At 45.1% G+C, this 20216-nt stretch overlaps 5 pseudogenes, besides 1 other annotated feature; 2 read left to right on the top strand and 3 right to left on the bottom strand.

Annotated features, from left to right (window-relative positions):
- On the top strand, positions 208-292 carry MREGP1 (melanoregulin pseudogene 1; annotated as a pseudogene).
- Positions 1705-2244: an enhancer, noted in NCBI's record as "H3K4me1 hESC enhancer chr12:31405343-31405882 (GRCh37/hg19 assembly coordinates)". NCBI's record gives its function as "activates a minimal SCP1, AML or CMV promoter by ChIP-STARR-seq in naive H9 embryonic stem cells {active_cell/tissue: H9 hESC(naive)}" and the evidence as "EXISTENCE:reporter gene assay evidence [ECO:0000049][PMID:30033119]".
- On the top strand, positions 2032-2690 carry RPL13AP22 (ribosomal protein L13a pseudogene 22; annotated as a pseudogene).
- On the bottom strand, positions 5414-6352 carry MTCYBP26 (MT-CYB pseudogene 26; annotated as a pseudogene).
- MTND6P26 (MT-ND6 pseudogene 26) lies at positions 6891-7253 on the bottom strand (annotated as a pseudogene).
- Positions 7265-7963, bottom strand: MTND5P43 (MT-ND5 pseudogene 43; annotated as a pseudogene).

Below are 20216 nucleotides of genomic sequence, written 5' to 3'. Positions count from 1 at the left end.
TCTGAAAATTAGGCCATAGAAGAATTTTAGATTCTTCTATGCAACAACAGAATGCAACAACAGAAGTCATTGCATTTGAATCATTTACTTCACTTATTTGATCCTAGTCTTATGTGTCTCAGATTAAATCAACTGGCTTTGAAAATCCGAGTTTTATGCCATTTAACTCTGAATGAAGAGTGCAAAGTGAAAGACTTGGGAAAAGGGACGAACTTACCCCTAGAAGCCCGGGGCTCCTTGCCTGGCAGATGGTCAGAAAGAACTGCACTACCTTCCATTTTCAAGTCCCTAACAGAGAGGCTCAGTGGCAGAATGGGAATTCTTCCATGAGGACTCGACAGTCAACCAAAGTTGAACAATTACATGTAGAAGAGAGTGAGCAAATAGAGGGCTTGCTGAATGAAAAATGATTCTGAATTCTACAAAAATGTAAGGTCTTTAATCTGGACCCTACTCTCTGAATTGTGCAGGCTGCACTGAAACGCCCTGGTGATCTGACGTTTAGGAAGAAAGTTAAAGAGTTGGTCAGATGGATAGTTCATAATGGGTGATTCCAGTCCAAGAGCCCATTGCCCAGCTTTGGTTTTGGTTGTATCATAATCTCCAACCATTAATCCCATTGACAGAGTGGAATATTTCAGTTAACAAGACAATATAATTAATAGAGCTATCATTGAACCCAAAAAGGGATTACCAATTTTAACATAATTATTATAAAACGTATGCTAACCCCCAAATAATACTATGCATGATGTGACCTCTCTTTGATTTGGAAGAGCCTGTAGAACCTCAGAGGGTGTCAAGGCATCACTTTGAGTATCAGTTAGGATTATTTGGAAGTATAGATGTATCAGATGATAGAAATGACAAGCAGTACTGCCCAGAAGGGAGTTTCAAAGAGGATGACCCCCAAACGGAACTTCCTGCAGCTGCATTTAAAGAATTGTGTTCATGTGTGGTACATGCATTTTAAATTCCCAACATTATTGACATCTGGTCACCTCATCTTTGCATATTGTCCATTTTATTCCAAAAGCCCTTGGCATTTTATCTGGGATAGCATGGGTAAACTGAAACATTTGACCTCGACTTTCCCCTTTTGTCTTTCATCTGTTTCTGGTTCATTGGCTGGGAGTTGCACCTGCGGGAGGACGTCTCATGCAGACTTGCACATATACAGGGAGTGTTGCATTGAAGGTCTTTGCTGGACCTTCTGTTCAGAAGGTGATTTTCAAAAGCGAGCAATGCTGCCAATGCAGCTTGCTTCTCTTGACAGATTGAGAAGTCCAGCTTCAAAAGTTACCTGCCATTTAAGCAAGGAGTTTGTCAAGAGATCATGGTTCATTTTATTGAAAAGACTTTAAGGAGTTGTAGGATTTATTCATAGATTGCTGAGAACAATGGCAATATTTTTATTTTTACAGAGTTTGCACTTCTGATTTCAGGTTAAACGCTAACTTGTTTTTAGTCTGCTTAGGGGATTGTGACTTGAAAATTTTTATATTCTGATGAGCTTTTTTGTAGTGTCCACAATGTATAAAATATTTCCTAGGTGAGATCTATGTTCTCCATTTATTGATGCATTGCAGACCAATTTGAGTGATGTGTTTAAGGAAAATTCTTCCTAGTTTAATAAGTAAGCTAAAAGGTTTTTTTTTTATATTTAATGTTTAATCTCTGTCTCGTGTTATTTAAAATTAGCCTGCAGATACTTTCCCTCACTTCTGTAGGCTCCTGGAAGATAAACATTCAAACAGCGGAACAAACAATAAATTAAATAAAAAATAAGAATTATATTTTCTTAATTTCTGCCTCAGAATTTGCGTTTTGTCTTTCTGCCTTTTTTTTTTGGATGTCAAAATAGATGAGATCGTATACTCTATGGAGTATAAATTGTTACTGAAGTCTTTATTTTTGGTAATGAATGAGTAAGAATAAGACTATCTCTGTGATTATTAAAATACATGGAATTATCCAGGAAATTTTCCTTACAAGGAATTAAAATATTCCTGTATTAAAGAGAAGAAAAGCCTTTCCCAAGCGGCTGGCGAAGACGGCAGAGGTGCAGGTCCTGGTGCTTGATGGTCGAGGCCATCTCCTGGGCCGCCTGGCGGCCATCGTGGTAAACAGGTACTGCTGGGCCGGAAGGTGGTGGTCGTACGCTGCGAAGGCATCAACATTTCTGGCAATTTCTACAGAAACAAGTTGAAGTACCTCGCTTTCCTCCGCAAGCGGATGAACACCAACTCTTACCGAGGCTCCTACCACTTCCGGGCCCCCAGCCGCATCTTCTGGCGGACCGTGCGAGGTATGCTGCCCCACAAGACCAAGCGAGGCCAGGCCGCTCTGGACCGCCTCAAGGTGTTTGATGGCATCCCACCGCCCTACGACAAGAAAAAGCGGATGGTGGTTCCTGTTGCCCTCAAGGTTGTGCGTCTGAAGCCTACAAGAAAGTTTGCCTATCTGGGGCGCCTGGCTCACGAGTTTGGCTGGAAGTACCAGGCAGGGACAGCCACCCTGGAGGAGAAGAGGAAAGAGAAAGCCAAGATCCACTACGGGAAGAAGAAACAGCTCATGAGGCTACGGAAACAGGCCGAGAAGAACGTGGAGAAGAAAATTGACAAATACACAGAGGTCCTCAAGACCCACGGCCTCCTGATCTGAGCCCAATAAAGACTGTTAATTCCTCAAAAAATAAAAAATAAATAAAAATAAAAAATTAAAAATAAAGAAGAAAAATATTAAAAAAGTATTTATTTGTAACTAGCTCCATCTAGTGAGAATTGCTTAAAATTACATGATTCATTTATGAATCTCCTTTGAACTAGTAACATTTTTTGAGAGCACTTTTCCATTTTAAAGAACTATAAATCCTGTAATTTTATGTTTTATAGAACCCCCAATTATAGACTAGAAGAGTTTTGGTAATTATAGAGCCTATTTTAGAAATTAATTTATGGTGAAAAATAAAGATATACCTAATGAATTAGTCACTTCTCAACATCATCACTGCAACTTTTTGGAGAAGCAGTAAAGTGGACAGTAAAGCTAAATCCTGGTAGAAAAGTAAAATACTGACTTCTTGAGACGAGAAGTGGGTGTGGGGCATAATAGAAAGATGGTGATGAGATTGCTCCAGACTTTAGGATGAGAAGAATAACCTTGTTAACAGTTCACAAATTGCTTGCATTTGTTTTTGCATTTGCTTTTTTGGACATCTTTGAGGTAGCTATTTCAGTCGACTCTTGAACAACATGAGTTTGAACTGTGTGGGTCTACTTTTACACGGAGTTTTTCTCTTTTCTTTTTTTGAGACAGGATCTCCCTTTGTCACCTTCGCTGGTGTGCAGTGGCGTGATCATGGCTTACTGAAGCCTTGACCTTCCGGGTTGAAGTGATCCTCCTGCCTCAACCTCTCCAGTAGCTGGGACTACAGGTGCACACCACCACACCCAGCTAATTTTTCTATCGTTTATAGAGAGGTTTTGCATTGTTGCCTAGGCTGTGCGGATTTTTTCCAACAAATGTTACCCCGAGTGTGCCTGCCTCGCCTGCCTCCCCTTCCACCTCCTCCACCTCTTCCACCTCTACTACCTCGAGACAGCAAGACCAACTCCTCGTCTTCCTCTTCCTCCTCCTCAGCCTACTCAATGTGAAGATGATGAAGATGAAGACCTTTATGATGATCTACTTCCATGTAATGAATAGTAAATATATATTTTCTATTTTTTTCTTTTTTTTTTTTTTTTTGAGACAGAGTCTCTGTTGCCCAGGCTGGAGTGCAGTGCCATGATCTCAACTCATTGCAACTTCTGCTTCCCGGGTTCAAGCGATTCTCCTGCCTCAGCCTCACGAGTAGCTGGGATTACAGGCGCTTACCACACCTGGCTAATTTTTGCACGTTTAGTAGAGATGGGGTTTCACCATGTTGGCCAGGCTGGTCTCGAACTCCTGACCTCAGGCGATCCACCCGCCTTGGCCTCCCAAAGTGCTGGGATTACAGACGTGAGCCACCGTGCCCAGCGTAAATGTATATTTTCTTCTTTATAATTTCCTTTTCTCTAGCTTACTTTATTGTAAAGATACAGGATATAATACCCACCACATACAAAATATGTGTTAATCGACTGTTTCTGTGGGAAGGCTTCTGGTCAACAATAGGTTCTTAGGTTTTTTGGGAGTGCCCCCTAGCCGCCACACTGCTCAAGAACCAACTGTGTTCCCTTATTTTGCAGGTCAAGAAACAGTCTCAGAAAGGTGAGGGCTGCTCCCAGTGCTGCAGGGCATTGTGGATGCTGTGGGTGCTGCCCGGATTCCCCTCCAGGACTGAGGCACTGCTCATTCTCCAGCCGCTGGGGGAGCCGCTGCCTGGCACCTCTCACCTGTGCTGCTTTCCCAGTGTTGCTTTTAGCCAAAGAAAGACACTGCCCAAGATTAAGCTCCCTCCCTAGGGACCGTGCACATCCAATGACTGGTTCCTGTGAGGTACCAAGACTTGTCCACCATGCCTCAGTTTGCAATATCTCAGAAGGGCCATCCCAGATCCAGAGCTCTCCATGGACCCACTGAGGCTCAGCTCGACTTTTCTATCTGCCAAATTCTTTGTCTTTCAACACTTACAGGTGCTATTTCTGCGATTACTCTCCAATAACTTCTGTATAGAAATCTCGGTGTCTCAGAGTGTGTTTCCCAGTGAACTCCACCTGTGACAGCTGGTACTGGATGTGGTCCTAGGAACTGACTCTAAAATAGGATGTTGTTGCTGCACCTGGCTGGCTGTAATAAGGCCCCCATCACTGGTAGAGCGCTAGCCCCCATCATAGGTGAAGCGCTAGTTGCCCCAGGCATCCATGCCAGTGCCAGTGTTCACATGTTTACAGGTGGCAAACTGGGACACGAAACTGGTAGAAGGGGATAGGCTGGCAAGTGACACATATAGGAGGTTGAGAGTTTCAGGGGAAATTAAGTAAATACAAGAATTTTGGAATTAGATGACTGTTGTTGGAGGCTATGCATGCATTGGAGAAAGACAATGACTGCCTCGGTTGGTTACTTAACCATGTGAGGGGAAGTATGAAGCCAGAACTTGGCTGTATATAAATAGAATCTCATCTCCGGTTGCCTAAGGGCCGTACAGCTAAGGACTTATATGAATAGCAAAGTTCCAGAAATTGTTGAATTCTTAATTCTCAACTCCAGCCAGTTCTGCTATATGTAGGTCAGGGTGCTGATTTGGAAGCAGTAAGATTCTGAGACTTTGGATGGGGACACTTGGTCCAAGCACTAAAAAATCTTGAATCATCAGGTCCCGCTGGACCTGTGGGCCTGCAGAAGTGACCCACTCCTCTCTGGTAAAGGCTAGAGCCTCTGGCTTATTTGAAGGTCATATGGAGGATCCTGTCTTGCAAGAAAACCCTAGTTTGTTTGGGATGGACTGTAGAATTGCGTAGGCGAATAAAGAGTACCACTCTGGTTTGATGTGGGGTGGAGTGCTGAGGGGGTTTGCTGGGGTGTAGTTGTGAGGGTCTCCTAGGAGGTCAGCAGAATTGATAAGAGCAAGAGAAGTAGAATTAATATCTTTAATTGTGTAATAAGAATAATATATTTAATTGTGTAATAAAGAATATCTTTAATTGTGTAATAAATTGTGTAATATATTTAATTGTGTAATAAAGAATATCTTTAATTGTGTAATAAGGGTGAAAAGGGATTTTGTCAGAATCTGATGAAATTCCTGAGGGGTTAATAGATCCCTTTTCATGTAGGAATAACAGGTGAATGGCTACTAGGGCTGTAATAATGAAAGGCAAGATTAAATGAAAAGTGAAGAATTATGTGAAAGTGGCTTTATCCAATGAGAATCCACCTCAGATTCACTGTACAAGGTCAGTTCCAATATATGGGATGGCTAACAGTAGATTTGTAATTACTGTTGCATCTCAGAATGATATTTGGCTTCATGAAAGTACGGAGCCTATTAATACTGTTGCTATAACTGCAAATAGAAGAATACTGCCAATATTCCAAGTTTCTAGGAAAGTAAATGACCCGTAGTATAAGCCTCGGCCTACATGTAAAAACAGGCAGATGCAGACTATCGAAGCCTCATTAGCATGTAGCATAATTATAATTCAGCAATAATTTACATCTCAGCAGAAGTGAGTGACTGAAGAGAAGGCGGTCAGAGTATCTGACATGTAGTGTATAGCTAAGAAAACCCTGTGATGATTTGAAGGACCAGGCAGATACCTAGAAGCAAGCTGAGATTTTACCATGCCGAGATGTTTGATTGTGCAGGTGGCTCAATAAACAGTGGTTAATAATAGAGAATGTGTTTTTCGGATGTTAGTCATTAGAGTTCTTAGAGTTGAAGCACAACAATGATTTTTGATGTCATTAGTTATGGTTATATCCCATGTAAGAATTATGACATACACTGTATTCTTATTAAGTATTATTCTTATTATAGGCTTTATGGGATTTTCTTCAAAGCCTTCTCCTATTTATGGAGGCTTGGGATTAATTACTAGTGGAGGTGTGGGTTGCAGTACTATGTTAAATTGTGGTGGGGCTTTTGTAGGTTTAATAGTTTTTTTGTTTTGTTTTGTTTGTGATGGAGTCTTGCTCTGTTGCCCAGGCTGGAGTGCAGTGGCACGATCTCAGCTCACTGCAACCTCCACCCTCTGGGTTCAAGCAATTTTCCTGCCTCAGTCTCCCGAGTAACTGGGATTACAGGCACGTGCCATCATGCCTGGCTAATTTTTGTATTTTTAATAGAGACAGGGTTTCACCATGTTGGTCAGGCTGGTCTCGAACTCCTGACCTCATGATCCGCCCGCCTCAGCCTCCCTAAGTGCTGGGATTACAGGCATGGGCCACGTGCCTGGCCTGGTTTAATAGTTTTAAAATTTTATTTAGGGGGAATGATGGTGGTTTTTGGTTATACAATGGCAATGGCTACTGAGGAGTATCCTGAGACCTGAGGGTCAGTGTTGTTATTTGGGATGCCTCACTATTAGGGTTGCTGTTAGAGTTGGTGATAATTATGTGGTTAATTGATTATGATGAGGTGGGAATTGTAACTGATTTTAAAAATATGGAAAACTGGGTGACTTTTGAGGTTGGGGAAATAGAATTACTTTGTGAGGATTCTATGGATGTAGCTGCCTTGTGCAGTTATGGGTGTTGGTGGGTGGTGGTTGCTGGTTGATCTCTGTTAGTATCTTTATTGTGATTGAGATTATGTGAGGGAATAGGGTTAAATAATTAAGAATAGAGTTAGGAGAGATGGGATAAGGAAGGAGAAAAAGTAGAGCATAATTAGATCTTTCTGGTTAGATACAATGGTGGAGGCTATCATTTGAACCTGGGCAGTATTTTTTGGTGTTGATTTTTCTAATCAAATCAGTTCTAGTAGAAGAGAGGTTAGGTTTTGTCTTGCATGGAAATTTGAGTGTGGTGTTGTGTGGTGTATTGTGATTGGGTAAAATCCTAATATATTGGAGAAATTAAATATTTGTGATGGGTGCTTGAGTTTGAGGTTGTTAGTTACAAGGTTAAGTTCTATTGCTAGTGAGAAGCCTAAAATAGTTACGCTGAGGGTTGTGAGTTTTAGGTGAAGGAGCATAGTCATTTGGGGAACTGATATTGGAATAATATTGTTGGAGATTAAAAATCCAGCAAAAATACTACCAATTGTTAGGCATTTGATTGAATTGATTAGGAAGGGGTTGTTTTTGTTGATGACAATTACAGCCGTGAAGTGAGGTTGTCCTAACAGTGCAAAGAAAATAATTCGGGTGCTGTAGACAGCTGTCAGGGAGGAGGCAATGACAGTAATTAAAAGGGCTCAGACGTTGGTATGCGACATATTTGCGGTTTCGATAATAAGATCTTTGGAATGGAAGCCTGTGAAGAAAGGCATTCCTGTGAGTGCAAGGCTGCCGGTAATAAGTGGGGAAGAGGGCCTGCAGAAGTGATCCACTCCTCTCTGTTAGAGGCTAGAGCCTCCGGCTTATTTGAAGATCATGTGGAGGATCGTGTCTTGCAAGAAAACTCGTGCTCTGCTCAGGATTCAGCTCTGCCTCCTCTCTTGGCCATCAGACCCGAAGCTAAGGGCAAGTTAGAACATAACCCAGCCACAGAAGTGCTGGGCCCGCTAAGAAAACAAACCTGCTAAGAAAAAAAAGTAGTTGTAGGCCTGGTCAATGTGAACCATCAGGAACTGGGGGAATATGTACGGGACTGGATCTTGAGGGTGCTGAACCAAAGGAAACAAAATACAAATTGGAAAAGGGAGAACTTTCTTTTACGGTACGGAATTTACACCCTGACGAGGACCCCGGGAGATGGCGCCAACATACTACTACATCACAACCTCTAAGAGGTTGCCTCTTAGAGGCCTGGAAAAGTATTGACCCACGTTAAGTGAGGTAGAATTGGAAGAACTGCCACAGCAAATGGTGAAGGAAGGAATCAGGATGTCCAGAGCAGTGGGCATGCCAAACTGGTTAGACTATAGAGGCCAGAAAATCCACCCCCCACAGTGTTCCCTAGGAGGGCCCAGAGCATACTCCGTTTACCGGCGTGCTAAGTCATGGCCTGGTGAGGAGGGCACCAGCATCACAGAGAAGCCCTGGAGTTGCCGCCCAGCATTCCAAAGGGCAGGCTGATGGCAGGAGATGCTGTTACAGCGCTGGGCTTGCTGCCAGCAATGGGGATGATAGGGTCCCGAAATAACAGAGGCCGGGGGGCAGAGCCCAATGCTGCAAGCCAGGTAGGCACAACTGAGACCGTGTTGGCTGTGAACACTAATGACAGGATATCTGGGTCAGAAAAGGCTTTCACTCCACTCCAGAATCATACCACATTGCCTCAGTGAAGCTTAAAAGTCCCCTGGGTGAGATCTCTATTTTTATTTTAAATTTTAGTTGCTGATTCTGGTTTTCTGGTATTATGATTTTTTATCAAACAGACATCTTAACAGCAGGCCTTTTAAAATCTGGATTCTAAGCCCCAGTGCCCGATGTCATCTATTGCATGGAATTGATCAACTTCACCCTCCATGCATCTAGATCAGTGCCATCCTTCTGGATTCTAGATTTGCCTTTTTTTTTTTTTTTTTTTTTTTTGAGACAGGGTCTTGTTCTGTCACCCAGGTTGGAGTGCAGTGGCACAATCTCATCTCACTGCAGCCTCCGCCTCCTGGGTTCAAGGGATTCTCTTGCTTCAGCCTCCCGGGTAGCTGGGATTACAGGCGCCTACCACCACACCTGGCTAATTTTTGTATTTTTAGTAGAGACAGGGTTTTGCCATGTTGGCCAGGCTGGTTTCAAACTCCTGGCCTCAAGCGATCTGCCCACCTCAGCCTCCCAAAGTGATGGGATTACAAATGTGAGCCACTGTGCCCGGCCAATTTGCCATTCTTATGGGAATTAAGAAATAATCACTCGAATTATGTCATGTACTCTGGGTCAGATGAGGAATAAGGAACCCTGTTCGGATGAGGAAGCCCAGTTGAGAATAGTTGCAAGCTACCTATATCCTTAACCTTTCAAACGATGTTTCCTTTGCTTTCTTTCCTCTGAAGACTCAGTTCCCCTTCAATCTCAGGTTTAGTTTTTGTTGTGGTTGCCATTCTCATTTACCTTTGGTTTCTCAAGCTTTAAATTGCGCTGTTGTCCTTTCCATAGCTTTCATCTCTCTGTTCTCTCACCCTTTGGCAAAAATCCTTCCTCCCTTTAGGATCACAGGAACTCCCTTGAATTGTCTTCTGTTTATGAAACCTTCTTTTTTAGTTTTTTTCGAGTCTCGGATATGTATTAATTAGTGTAATCTCCAAAATAATACGTCAAGATGATTTCATGTATTTTAGAGGAGAAATGTTTCCTGGTTAAGTGGGAAATTGTGCGGATGGCTCCTGGAAGAGCTTCATTCTAAGCAGCTTTAGAGTGAAACATTTCATTTAGAAATCTGGGCCTTCTTGCTTCAGTTTGCTGTAATCCACATTCACCGAGTTGAACTTGTACTGATCATTGGCACCCAGTTTGTCTCAGGGTTTTTGGGTTATTCTTTCTGCCCCTACTAACATCTGATCGAACAGTGCCAGATGCAAGACATACAGTGCTGCTCCAGGACCTCCAGCTCCAATAAATATTAAGAGGAGGATCAAGCTTGGAAGCTTCTTGGCCTGGCCGAGGATCTGGTGGAGGATGTTTGCCGCAGAGGTCTGATTGGAAAGGAGAAATGCTATGAAGACTTCTTAAGAGATGCCTCCCCTGAAGGCTGTATCTTGACTGAGCCCCTTCCCATTCTCCTTCCTAGTTCTTTCTTTGCCTTCAGGGCACTGATTATTTTGTGACACTCATATAAAGACATATACATAACCTAGTTAATTATGTATATATAAAATTTTATGTAATTATTTTTATGAGTAGTGGATATAAATCTCATTCCTCAGACTCAGGTATGCAAGAAGTACAACTTAAAGTTTTTATTTTAGGCCAGGCGCGGTGGCTTACACCTGTAATCCCAGCACTTTGGGAAGCTGAGGCGGGTGGATCACCTGAGGTCAGGAGTTCGAGACCAGCCTGGCCAACATGGTGAAACCCCATCTCTACTAAAAATACAGAAATCAGCTGGGTGTGGTGGCAGGTGCCTGTGGGCCCAGCTACTTGGGGGGCTGAGGCAGGAGAAAGGCTTGAACCTGGGAGGTGGAGGTTGCCGTGAGCAGAGATCGTGTCACTGCACTCCAGCTTGGGCGACAGAGTGAGACTCTGTCTCAAAACACATATATTTTTTAAAAATTTATTATTATTTTTAAACAGGGCCTTGCTCTGTTGCCCAGGCTCGAGTGCAGTGGAATGATCACATCTTAATGCAGCCTTGACCTTCTGGGCTCAGGTGATCCTCCCACCTCAGCCTCCTGAGCAGCTGGGACCACAGGTGTGCACCACCACACCCAGCTAATTTTTAAATTTTTTGTAGAGTCAGGGTCTCCCTATGTTGCCTAGGCTGGTCTTGAACTTCTGGGCTCAGGCAATTCTCCTACTTTGGCCTCTCAAAATGTTGGAATCATAGGCCTGAGCCACCACACCTGGCCAAGAAGTACAAGTTTAAAATTTTTCTGTAACAGGGAACATTTCTGACTCTAAGCCTTCATTCAGCCCAGGTATGAAGCTTAATCCCAGTCATATCTGTGGCTCCCTACTGCTGCCTCTGGGGTTTTGTCAAGTTCAGATGGTTCTGCAGAGCTGCCCTGGTGGCAACTGCTCCTCTGCTTCTGCCAGGCCCCTCCATCTGGGCTCAGGCCTGGGTCGTCTTTCCCACCTGCACTCCCTCCGTGGCTAATCTTCTGCAATTCTTGGATGCTAAGTGTCATCTTTGCGTAGATTTGTCCATAGCCTCTAGGGCAGACTTCTCCTCAGAACTCAGGATGGGTGTATCCATCTGCCCACTTGGCATTTCCACCTCAATATCTAATTTCTCTTTTCTTTTTTTTCTTCTTTTCGGCATGTTGTCCAGACATCTAATTTCATCTTGGATTTACCTGAACCAAAGAGAACTCTTGATTTCGACCCTTTGCCTTGCCCCTCTCCCATCTTCTTCCGTAGCTCTAGCTAGACACTCATGAGCTCTCCCTGGTGCTTGTTTTCCCCATCCAGGCATTCAGCAAATTCTTCTGGCCCTACTCCCAAAATATATCCCCGGTCCATCCACTATTCTTTATTACCAGTGCTTTCAACCTAGTCTAGAGTATCACCTCTCACCTAGAATACTGGAAGATTTCCCTTACTTGTCTTTAAACAAATTTTTTTTTGAGACAAGCTTTTGCTCTATTGCCCAGGCGGGAGCGCAGTGGCGTGAATATGGCTTAATGCAACTTCAACCTTCTGGGCTCAAGCAATCCTCCCACCTCAGCCTCCTGAGTATCTGGGACCACAGGCATGCAGCACCATGTGTAGCTAACTTTTAAATTTTTTGTAGAGACGGGGTCCCGCCATGTTGCCTAGGCTGGTCTTGAACTCCTGAGCTCAAGCAATCCTCCCACCTTGGCTTCTCAAAGTGCTGGGATTATAGGCATGAACCACCGCGCCCAGGCCCTTACTTCCCTTTCGGCTTCATGCTTGTTTTCTTATAAGCGTTATTCCACACAGCAGCCAAAGTGTTTTGCTAGGACTAAGACTTGGACTAAAATGGTGAGACTATGTCGTAACTCAGCTTAATAGCCTCTGCTTCCCGCTAAACTCGGAATAAAAACCTAAGTTCTTCCTCACCGCCTTCTGTTATAGTGAACTGGGGTCTGCTTGCCTGGTGCAGTAAAACCAGACATCTACCCTGAGGTTTTGCAGTGACAGAAAAGTGTTCATTTGCAGGGCACCAAGCAAAGAGGACCAAGCAGTTAAATGCTCAAATCCTGACCTTCCCAATGGTTTGCAGGCAAGGGTTTTTAAAGGCAGGAGTAAATTTCAGGAAAGCAGAAGCTACAGGCAAAATCGTAAATCAATACATGGAGATTACACATTGACTTAGGCCTAAAAGGGGAGGATATCTTGAGGGGGGCTTACAGGTCATAGGTAGATTCGAAGATTTTCGGATTTGCAACTGGTTAAAGAAGAGAAGCTTTGTTTAAAAATTTGGGATCTGCAGAAAAATGTTAACTGGCTGGGATGGGGTGTGACTTTCTCTAAGCCCCATCAGGAAGAAGTTTTATCTTCAGTTTCCCCCTTATCTGAGGTCTAAATGCCAGTGGATCTGTTCGGTGTGGTTCCTCAGTGGGGGTTTCTGAAAGACAACTCAAGGACGTATGTTCAGCTGTTGTCTTTAGTTCCTACAGGGAAAGCAAACATCTCTGGAACTCAAACGTCCTTGGCTCTTGTTTTAGGCTACTATTACCTTCTTATTTACTTCTGGGGATAGTGAGGTGCCTGGAATTTCTCTTGAAGGAACTTAGGGTTTTTCTTTATTTTCATGCTTGGGGTCTTCAGGCTCCTAAGAAAGGGGCCCCTGTTGCAGCTCAGTTCCATCCTTGTCACTCCACAATCCTGAGGGGTATAGGGGAACAGACCACTCTGGCTACTTCCTGCTGAATTGGGGCAAAGATCGGGGACTAGGATATGAAGAGAGAAAGTTTCTATAATAGCATGGAGTTCACAATATTCACGAGTCCCAGGCATGGCACCGTGGTGCTGAACTATCATTGTATTAGTTGCTTTAGTCACAGCTTCACTACAACATTTTAATGCACATTTGGTCATAATAGAAAGCATAAGCACAATTAACAAGACTGACATGCCTAGTTTTAGCCACCCAGAAAACATAGACTGTTTTCCACGAGGAATCCAAGAAAACAGAAAAGAAAACCAGTCCTCAGAGACAGTCTGGGAGGCTGTTGTACCCAAGTGGCTTGCTCTCTAACTTTTCCTAGATGAGTTTCTACCTCCACGGATTCGTTTATGTAAATATAGCACGCGGTATTTGCAACCATACATACTCCTCCCTGCTCCGCTAAGATGTAATCTAGGGCTATCCTATTATCTAAGACAACCTGACCCAATACATTAATTCCTCTCTGCTGGGCTGCGATTGCAATTTCCTTGACAAGAATTCATAAAGGGAGAGATTTCTAATTCTGCGCTCATGGGGCACCGTTCTCCGCCAAGGTAACAAAGTTTATCTGAAGAAATACCCAGCTCTGTCTTCTTGGTACCAGGCAAGTATGAATCTGTATATCTCGAAAGTGAGTTGTGGACCATTTAGTTTTACCAAGTAATTTTAGGGAGCTTTTCCAGTGCTTGGTTTCAGCAGTTTTGTGTACAGAAAACTGGGATAAATGAGTATCCTTACAGGCAAGTTCCTCCTATATGCTAGCTGTCAATACATTCATACATCCAGAGGGTTTCTTGTTATCCCCTACAAACAAATAGATATTCTGAGGATGCACAGAGGAACACAGAAAGATTGTATAGATTAAGTTTAGAATCTTGTAGCAGGGCTTCGTGGATTGGATTAAACCAAGGACCTGGTAGGTCTATTTCCGAGTGTTGCTTTGTAGTAAGGAGTTGCTGAATTTAACTCGATCCAAGATACAGCTTGGAGGCATTCCTGAACAGGCTGTTAGGGAATCACAGTAATAAGAGTAAGGGCATCTAGAATTCCCATCAATCTGATAGTAAACTAAACAAAGGGGAGGCATATGATTCCTTCTTCGGCAAACTTGATCAAGGTAGCTCCTAGAAGCAAGGGACATGTAATGGTATTTCTCTCTCTTTTTTTTTTTGAGATGGAGTTTCACTCTTGTTGCCCAGGCTGGAGTGCAATGGCGCGATCTCGGCTCACAGCAACCTCCGCCTCCCGGGTTCAAGCCATTCTGCTGCCTCAGGCTCCCGAGTAGCTGGGATTACAGACATGCGCCACCACGCTCGGCTAATTTTGTATTTTTAGTAGAGATGGGGTTTCTCCATGTTGGTCAGTCTGGTCTCGAACTCCGGACCTCAGGTGATCTGCCTGCCTTGGCCTCCCAAAGTGCTGGGATTACAGGCGTGAGCCACTGCGCCCGGCGCTATTTTTCTGTTATGCAGTAATTTGTAGTTGAGTCAGAAAATGAGAAATTAGACAGTGGGTTAATTATGGTGAAATCAACAGGCTTGGGGTGGCTGAGGCTGGAGCATTGCTTGAGCCCAGGAGTTTGAGACCAGCCTAGGCAGCATAGTGAGACTTCATTCCTATTAAAAAAAAAATTAGCCAGACATGGTGCGTGCCTGTAGCCCCAGCTACTTGGGAGGTTGAGGTGGGAGGATCCTGTGAGCCCAGAAGGTCGAGGCTGCTGTGAGCTGTGATTATACCACTGCACTCCAGCCTGGGTGACAGAGTGGGACACTGTCTCAAAAAAAAGTGGCAATAAAGTGGCAATAAAGGCACTCTCGTTATCACTGTGTATGGGGAATGGAACCCCAAATCTGAGGAAAATTTCTTTCAGTAAGGCTTTTGAAACCCTCTCAGTGTGGCAGGGAAAGGCTTGCACCTGTCCAATAAATGTGTCCACCATGACTAACAACTAACTAAAATTTTCTTTAGCTCTTGGCTTTACGTTAAAGATCCAAATCCTGGCTACCATTCCCCAGGTCCTAGGGAATATTATAGCCAGGAAGCATTGCAATAAAAAAAACTTTTTCTTTTTCACAAGCTCAAAGCTAAAAGCAGCCCAATTCTGCAGAATACATCCTACCGGGCCACAAGGAGGAATAGAGCACACATTTCCCATTTTAGATGACAACCTTAGGTGACAAACCCTTAATGCCTCAGCTGGGCTTTGAACTGTGTTTAAACCAAGTCAAACAATTTTAAACAAGTCCAAAAATTTTAAATGTGATTTCCCAAGGTCCCAGTCCCTTCAGCTGTCTATGGGGTATCTCCCACCCAACGCTCTGAAGAAGCAGAGCGTAATATCTTGCCCAAGCAATGCCAAGATGTCTTGCCAAAGTGGGACCAAATGTCTGAAGGAAAAATACCTTGAGGCCGTTGTCCATGAGCCTGCCACTTAACGGCAGACGTCTTCCCAGCCAAGTGCCTTGTTTTTAACACTGCAATAGTCATAGCACCCCACGGGCCAGTGGTGCCTGGTTATCAGCCAAACACACAGATCCCTGAATGAAATAATTCGGGCAGCCGCTAGATGGGGTCTGAGGGTGACTATGACTAGAGGCTGATGTGCCATAAGCGAGATGCCCACTTCGGACTTTTGTCCCTTCATGGTTGTTAATTGTTTTAGAACTGAACTAGGACCCTTACCAGGCACAATAAAACCAGATTTCTATACGGAGGCTTTGCAGAGATAGAAAGAAAAGCTAAGATCAGGGAAGGAGAGACCAAGGCAGGCTTTTTCATTAGCAATGGTGTTGAGCAGGCAGTTTGGGTAATTTCTTTTCTTTTTTTGAGATAGAGTTTCACTCTTGTTACCCAGGCTGGAGTGCAGTGGTGCGTGCTCGGCTCACTGCAACCTCTGCCTCCTGGGTTCAAGTGATTCTCCTGCCTCAGCCTCTCGAGGAGTTGGGACTATAGGTGTGCGCCACCACGGCTAGCTAATTTTTTGTATTTTTAGTAGAGACGGGGCTGGTCTTGAACTCCTGACCTCAGGTGAACCGCCCGCCTTGGCCTGCCAAAGTGCTGGGATTACAGGCGTGAGCCACTGCGCCTGGCCTGGGTAATTTTCTTCTATACCATCCCAGGTTTAAATTCTGGCCATCCTTCCCTGTCTAGCTGAAATTCCATGGTCTGAATGAAATTTTTGTGTCCCCACTTGCAGGCACCTTACCATCCTCTGAATTTCTCAAGTACACTTTATATCTGTGTTGTCTAAGCAGATGGTTCCTGTCTTTTTCCCTCAACCAGACCATCAGCCCTTTGACGGCTTTCTTTCTATTCTTTTTGACTCCCTTTGTGCCCTCCCCTATTCCCTGACCCACTCCATCCCGTACCAGGCACAGTAATAGATACTCAACAAATATGTCATTAAATTGACTAAACGATCCCCTGCAGCCACATGCACCTGCCTGTGAGCTGGGTGACAGGCTACTTTATTATCTTTCCCATTCTTTATCACATGCCCCCTCCAAAAACAACATTCTAAGTGCTGTATTTCTGGGAGGCTCAGAGACCATTTATTTATTTTTTTAAAGGTTTTTACCTGCATTGTGCAGTGGAGGGGCAAATTCTAGGCCAGACCTGTGGTCAGAGCAGAAACGTAGAGTGGTCTGTGCTGCTCTCAACACTCATTCCAGGATCAGCTGCTGATGGCTGTATCATCTCTGCTGCAAGGCTTTGAGAAGAGCTGTATTCGGGCAGCTCTACAGGAAAAAAAATGTGATCACAGTCTCCCAGGTTTTCTCAGGCAGCAGCAGAAGGTAGTAGCAAACAACCCAGACAGTGGTGACCTGTAGCTGTTTAGGGAAAAATATAGGTGAGTGAATGAAGGAATGAGTGGAAGGAAGGATGGATGAATGAACGAGATCACAAATGAACAGCATGCTGTAGTGGAAAGAAACCTGGAGACATGGGGTTGGCATCCTAACATTTTCCTTATCCTTTGTGTGATGTTGGAAAAATTGCCTGATGTCTTCTCAGTTTCCTCATCTGTAAAGTGGGGCAAAAGTACATACTCCTCAGGGTGGTTGAGAAGATCAAAGGAGATGATGTTTGTGAAAGTACCTACTTCCTTTGAGGCCATGTCTAACGTAACCAGGGTCTCAGTGGACACGTAAGACTGGGTGTGATGGGTACGTGTGTGTCTGTCCCCCACACGTGGGGTTTTAATTGAGTGGGTTTCAATGTGGAAGGTGCCCACTGCATCCTGTCTCCCACCCCGTGATGATCGCCAGCTATTTCAGATGTGGACAGCGGTGTCCCTGGGGGCTGGGCTTGCACTGCAGCTGGAGTTTTAGAGATTCTGCTTTCCTGGTGAGCTCAACTGTGTGAAGGCTGATGGCGGGGTTCGGCCAGTGGCACCATCCGTGTTTGCCTGTGTGGGAAGAGCAGGTGCCAATCTGATGAGCTCTAGGGTCCAGGGCAGGCGGTTTGGCCCAGCTGCCTGCAACAACACTTAATCTGGGAGATCCCAGCTGATTCTCTCAAATGGAGACTTGCTGAGGCCATGCCTCATGTTCCAGGATTCCTGGGGAGCTGCTGAACCTGGGGAGGGGTGGAGGTACCTGACCCAAGTTCCCACAGCTACTCTGTCCCTGTGACTTGAGGTTGCAAACTTCCCCAGGGCTGAGGGCACGCTCTGCTGCTCTGTCTGAACCCCCAGCTCTGCCTCCTGAGCAGATACTGTGTGGCTCTGAACCAGTTGCTTAACGTCTCTGACCTTCACCCTCATTGGTAGACAGAAGACAATAATACCTACCTGAAGAGATTGGTATGATAATTTCATGTTAATTACCATTATTGAGTACTTTCTAAGAGTGCTAAACACTTTATAAACACTTTACAAACATGATTTCAACAGTAAACCTGAGAAAGGCGGTATACTTGCCATTTTACAGCTGAAGCAGCTGAAGCTCAGAGAGGTTAGGTAGCTTTCTCTGGGCCGCACAGCTGGTAGGTTTCAGAGCCCGTTCATACCAGCTGTCTTCCTCTTTGCTGCCCTCAGGTTGCTTCCTGCAGTAGATAAGATGAGATGCGAAGAGCACTCGGCCTGCAGTTGACTGGATCTGAATCTGACAGATCCTGTGGAATTTGCTGAGAGATTGATTGGGACTTTCTGGGGACTGGAAAAAATGGGGATGGGGTAGAGAGGAGATTAGTAAGCCTGGGACTGTGCTCCCCAGCCTTTGTAGGCGAATCATCCGAGTCCGGGCTGTGGGGGATTTTTGGTAGCAGGCTGTTGACTCTTCTCCAGGTTCAGTCGGAGGGGGAGGGCAGGTAATGATGCTGAAGGACACAGCTTGTTCTGCAAATTTGTGAAAAGCTCTGCAGGCTCACATCCCAACGTCATTGGACGTGCTCTGGGTTCCCTGTACTATAGGGAACATTTGAGAAATGTCATATGGATGTGCTTCTGCCATTAGGGAGCGCCCAGTTGTCAGACAGACATGGGCACGCATATGAGTGATTGGGAGCAGCAGCCAAGGCAGTGAGCAGTACGGGGTGAGGATCTGCAGGACAGGAGGTTGCTGCAGGTGACTCATCAGGGAGGGCTTCCTGGAGTAAGTGGGGCTGTGGCTGAAGCATGGGTAGAAGTGACCAGGAGAGGGATGGCAGCTGAGGTAGTGAGATACATCAAAAGAGAGGGCCCTTCCCAAATTTGGGCCAAGGGCTCATTGTATTATCCTGATCGACGTCTCCTTCTTCACATTTTTAAGTATCCCGTGTTGGCCACTCTGACAGGAAGCCACTGACAGAGACCTGGGTCCTGCCTCCTGATGTCTTTCCATCAAAGACAGACAGGCTGGTGCCCACTTATGTGAAATGTCACCTGCAAAACATTCTATGAAGCCATAAGCAGCAGAGAAGGTTCTGGTGCCTGTATTTTCCACCTTCTCCTTATACCAGGGCTACCTGTTGGCCTCAGAACAGAGGGTTCTTCTGGCCGAGAGACTTCAGATGTGGCTTTGCCTTCTTTCCTCCCTCACCAAGGACACTCCCAGTGGACAGCCAGAGCCACTGCAGCCTGTCCCGCCCGAGGCAGGCTGCCGTGGAAGGACTCGTGCTCTCAGTCCACTCTTCTTTCTCTGAGCTTGGCCCACCCTCCTGGTTGGGCTGGAATTGAAAAACTGGCTTTTCTCTCTGGAACAAATGGCGGTTTTATGGCTTAGGGTTTCAGCTCTCTGCAAGTCTCCCCTGTCCCCAGGCACAGAGAGGGCAGTCAGCTTGCCCCCGCCTTCCAAAGCTGGGGGTGGGCATTAGCACAACTCCTTCCAGCTGTCCCTGAGTCCACACAGCCAGCTGCTGCCTGCTGCAAAAGGACATTGATGCCACCGCCATCTGCAGCTCATTTCCCTGGAATCAGCTTTGCAAACAACCTTTTTAATCACGTTTATGACCTCAGCATATAATTGCTGCAGGTTTGAGTTTCCAGTGATGATGAAAAGCTTGGCTATAAAGCCAGCAGGTTGGGTTTCAAAATCTCAGCCTCATTTTGGATCCTTTCCTACCTTTTTCTCTTCCTTCCCTCCTCTTCCCTCCCCCTCTAATCCTCAAGAGGACTAGGATATTCCTTCATTTTCCTGTGCTGTTTATGGTTTACAAAGCACTTCTATTGTTCCTGTAAGGAAGATGCATTATCCCCACTCTATAGGTAGAAAAACTGAGAGTCAGAGAGGCCAAGTGATCTGTCCAAGGCTCCTGGTTAGAAGCAGCTGAGCTAAGCCTGTGATCCTGGTCCTGGATCTGCATCCTTTGTTGCTCTCACTCTGCGGGGCAGCCTTGGTCTGGCTGGCATGACAAATGTCCTTCCCGGGCATCTCAGAGTCCTCTCCTGCCCCACCCCCGGGACATATTGGGCTGATCAGTCTGCAGCTGCCAGGATCCAGCCTGCTTTGTGTTGAATTGTGGTTTGTGGCTTTTATTTGTTCCCACGATGCCCTGTGTGAATGTCACTGAGTTTGTCAGGGCCGGCTCCTTCTCCTTGGCTAGCTAGGAAAACCGAACCCCAGATGGTGCTCTTCCCCAGAAAGCTTGGCCAACTCTCCCATGTCTCATGGGGAGAGCCCTGGCTGGGA

Source organism: Homo sapiens, chromosome 12 (assembly GCF_000001405.40).
Source record: "Homo sapiens chromosome 12, GRCh38.p14 Primary Assembly".
NCBI classification, from domain to species: domain Eukaryota; kingdom Metazoa; phylum Chordata; class Mammalia; order Primates; family Hominidae; genus Homo; species Homo sapiens.
Note: the sequence above shows the minus strand (reverse complement) of the source record. Positions and strands in the feature narration are given on the sequence as shown.